The 3,299-nt window shown below is 46.5% G+C and overlaps 2 annotated features.

The window, feature by feature from the left end:
- Positions 224-1,122: an enhancer, noted in NCBI's record as "H3K27ac-H3K4me1 hESC enhancer chr1:42547241-42548139 (GRCh37/hg19 assembly coordinates)". NCBI's record gives its function as "activates a minimal SCP1, AML or CMV promoter by ChIP-STARR-seq in primed H9 embryonic stem cells {active_cell/tissue: H9 hESC(primed)}" and the evidence as "EXISTENCE:reporter gene assay evidence [ECO:0000049][PMID:30033119]".
- Positions 1,123-2,021: an enhancer, noted in NCBI's record as "H3K27ac-H3K4me1 hESC enhancer chr1:42546342-42547240 (GRCh37/hg19 assembly coordinates)". NCBI's record gives its function as "activates a minimal SCP1, AML or CMV promoter by ChIP-STARR-seq in primed H9 embryonic stem cells {active_cell/tissue: H9 hESC(primed)}" and the evidence as "EXISTENCE:reporter gene assay evidence [ECO:0000049][PMID:30033119]".

The raw sequence follows: 3,299 nt of genomic DNA, 5'->3' as shown, positions 1-3,299 counted from the left end.
GTGAAACAAAACAAAAAAAATTCAAGATCCAATAATACGTTGTGTATAAGAAACCCACTTTAAAGGAGGCTTCAAGATGGCTGACTACAGATATGTGGTACTCACCTTCTCCACAAAGAACCAATATAGCCCTTCAAATGGAGCATCTAAGATAGAACACTGGAATTCAGAAGAAAAGTGACAGGAAACATCTGAAGCATGGAAAGAAAGGGAAATGAGGCAGCCAGTTTAGCCAGGATTGCCTGTGAGCCCCGTGAGGTTGCCCCATGTGGGAAAGGGTAAGTGAGAGATCTCCAGCAGCCCACATTCCTGTAATCCTAGCCATGGGAGAGCCCTGTGACCCTTGTGGGCCCTGAGACTAATATCAGAAGCAGTCTGGAGTCTGTGTAATGGCATTGCTCCAGAATGGAAGCTCATGCTGGGTCCCATACATCCTCTGAGACTCAAGCAGCTGCAGCACACACCATTTTGAAAGCCCAGCCCCCACAAGACTGCATACTGCCCTGGGGCCCAAGAGCCTCTGTAACTTCATGTCTCTGAATCCCCAGTGACATCCCCCAACATCCACCCAGAGGGCTGAAGTGGACAATGTTGTTTGGACCCAGCAGTGCAGCAGGGTCCTCAGCACTCCAGCTTACACAGTGTACTATACCCCAGGGAATGGATGGTATAGTGCATTGGAGAGGTTATCCCTGGGACAAAGGGAACCAAAGCATGCACTCCCCAGCACAAGAAAGTCACTCTGCTTGCTGCCACTGAGAGCAACCTCATCCATTCTAGCAGCAGGGCAGGGTGCCTATGCATGCACCCTAAGGACAGGCTCTCCCCACCTGTAGCCACTGCTGCCACTGCCACTGGGACGAAGTGTGGTCCTCAGAGACTGAGATACACCTGCCTGGACCTGCTGCCACCAACAGAAATTCCACCCCCTTCAGCAGCAAGACCACTGCACACTTGCACATGCCCTGAGGGACAACAATCCTGGCCTGCTACTGCTGCTGCTGCTACTGCCAACACCCTGCCGGGGGCCAAAGTACACATTCCCCAGAGACTGAGAGTCACCTCCCTGGGACAGCTGCCACTGACAACAACCCTGCCACCCAGCAGCATGGATGCTGTATACTTTCACACACTCTGGAAATGCTTTCCTGCCCACTGCTGCCACTGATCCCTCCCCCTGAGCATGCCACCCAGGAGCCTGGAGATAGCCACCTTTCCTGCCACAGTGTGTGCCCATGAACATCACTGAAGGGCCTGAGGACAGGCCCGCTCAACCTGGTACCCAACCCCACTGCCTAAGTATGCTGCCCAGGGGCCTGGGGATTACCCCACCCCGTCTATGATGATTGGCAGCTATGCACTCCTCCAAGGGGCCTGAGGACAAGCCCACCCAGCCTGCAGCTATCACCACTTCTGAAAACTTCCTGGATGTGCCACCTGGGGGCCTGGGTCCTGGAATAGCCAGCCTGCTGCAGCCACCACCACCAGTGTGTGCTGCCTGGGAGTCCGAAGGTAGGTCCACCACTGGGCCACCTTCTGGGTACTCTCATCGCCCACACCATATATGTTGCCCAGGGGCCCAAACATCTGCCCACCTTCCTGGCCCACTGCTGTCACTGCTGGCATCTGGAGGTCCAAGGATTGACCTACCTGGACCCACTGACACTGCTGCCCACATTTGCCACCTGGGGCCCCAAAGACAGACAGAATCAGCCCTTGATGTGGTTTGGCTCTCTGTCACCATCCGAATCTCATGTCGATTTTTAATTCCCAGTGCTGGAGGAGGGATCTGGTGGGAGGTGATTGAATCATGGGAGCAGATTTCCTCCTTGCTTTTCTCATGATAGAGTTCCCACACTATATGGTAGTCAGAAAGTGTATAGCATCTCCCTCTTCACTGTCTCTCCTCCTCCTGCTCCAGCCATGTAAGACATGACTCCCTCCTCTTCACCTTCTGTCATGGTTGTAAGTTTCCTAAGGCCTCCTCAGCCATGCTTCCTGTACAGCCAGTGGAATTGTGAATTAAACCTCTTTTATTTGTGAATTACCCAGTCTTAGGTAGTTCTTTATAGCAGTGTGAGAACCGACTAATACAGCCCACCACTGTCAGCACTAGGGTCAGAGGACAGGCCCACCTGGCATCCCCATCCCCAGCAAAGCCTCATCACAGCCTCCACTAACAATTGCAGCCAAACACACTGAGGAAATCACAGACACTGCTGACACTGTTTACAGCCAAATAAATCATACAGAGACTATGCTACTGCGCACATCCAGAGTCAAAGGTAAAGATCTTTACCCAATCAACACCATAGATACATCTTGAGAAAAAAATCTTCTCATATAAAAGCCAATTCAAAAAATTGGAAGAAATTTTTGTTACACTTGATGCATAGATATCAACTTAAGGACATGAGAAACATGAAAAATCAAGGAAATATGACACTTCCAAAAGAACACAATAATTCCTCCGCAGTAGATTCCAATGCAAAAGAAATTTATGGAATGCCTGAAAAAGAATTTTAAAAATTGATATTAAAGAAGGTCAGTGAGATACAAGAAAACACAGTAAACAAAATAAAGAAATCAGAAAAACAATTCAGTATGTGAATGAGAAATTTACTAGAGATAACTATCACAAAAAAGAATCAAACAGAAATCCTGGAACTGAGTAAGTCAATGAATGAAGTAAAAAATACAATGGAGAATTTCAACAATAGGCAAGATCAAGAAGAAGAAAGAATTTCAGAACTTGAAGACAGGTATTTTGAAGTAATCCAGTTAGACAAAAATAAATAAATAAATAAATAGAATAGAATAGAATAGAATGAACAAAGCTTATATGACATGTAGGATACCACAAAGTGACCAAATGTTCAAATGTTGAGTGTTCTGGAAAATGAAAAGAAGGCCAAAGTTACAGAAAATCTATTTAACAAAATAATAGCTGAACACTTAGCAATAGGTCTAGACAATAGGTCTAGACATCGAGGTGCAGGAATAGACTTTCAGGTATAGGAATCCCAGAGATCCCCAAAAGGTTGTCTCCATCCACATTATAGTTAAACTGTCAAAAGTCAAAGACAGAATTCTAAAAACAGCAAAAGCATCTAGTCACATGCAAGGGAACTTCCCTCATATTAACAGCAATTTCTCAGCAGGAACTTTATGAGTCTGCAGAAAACGAAATGATATAATAAAGGGCTGAAAAAAAACTCGTCAGTCCAGAATACTGTACTCATCAAAGTTGTCCTTAATAAACGAAGGAGAAATAACGTATTTCCCAGACAAGCAAAAGC

The sequence above is a fragment of the Homo sapiens genome, chromosome 1 (assembly GCF_000001405.40).
Source record: "Homo sapiens chromosome 1, GRCh38.p14 Primary Assembly".
In the NCBI taxonomy this organism is placed as follows: Eukaryota; Metazoa; Chordata; class Mammalia; order Primates; family Hominidae; genus Homo; species Homo sapiens.
Note: the sequence above shows the minus strand (reverse complement) of the source record. Positions and strands in the feature narration are given on the sequence as shown.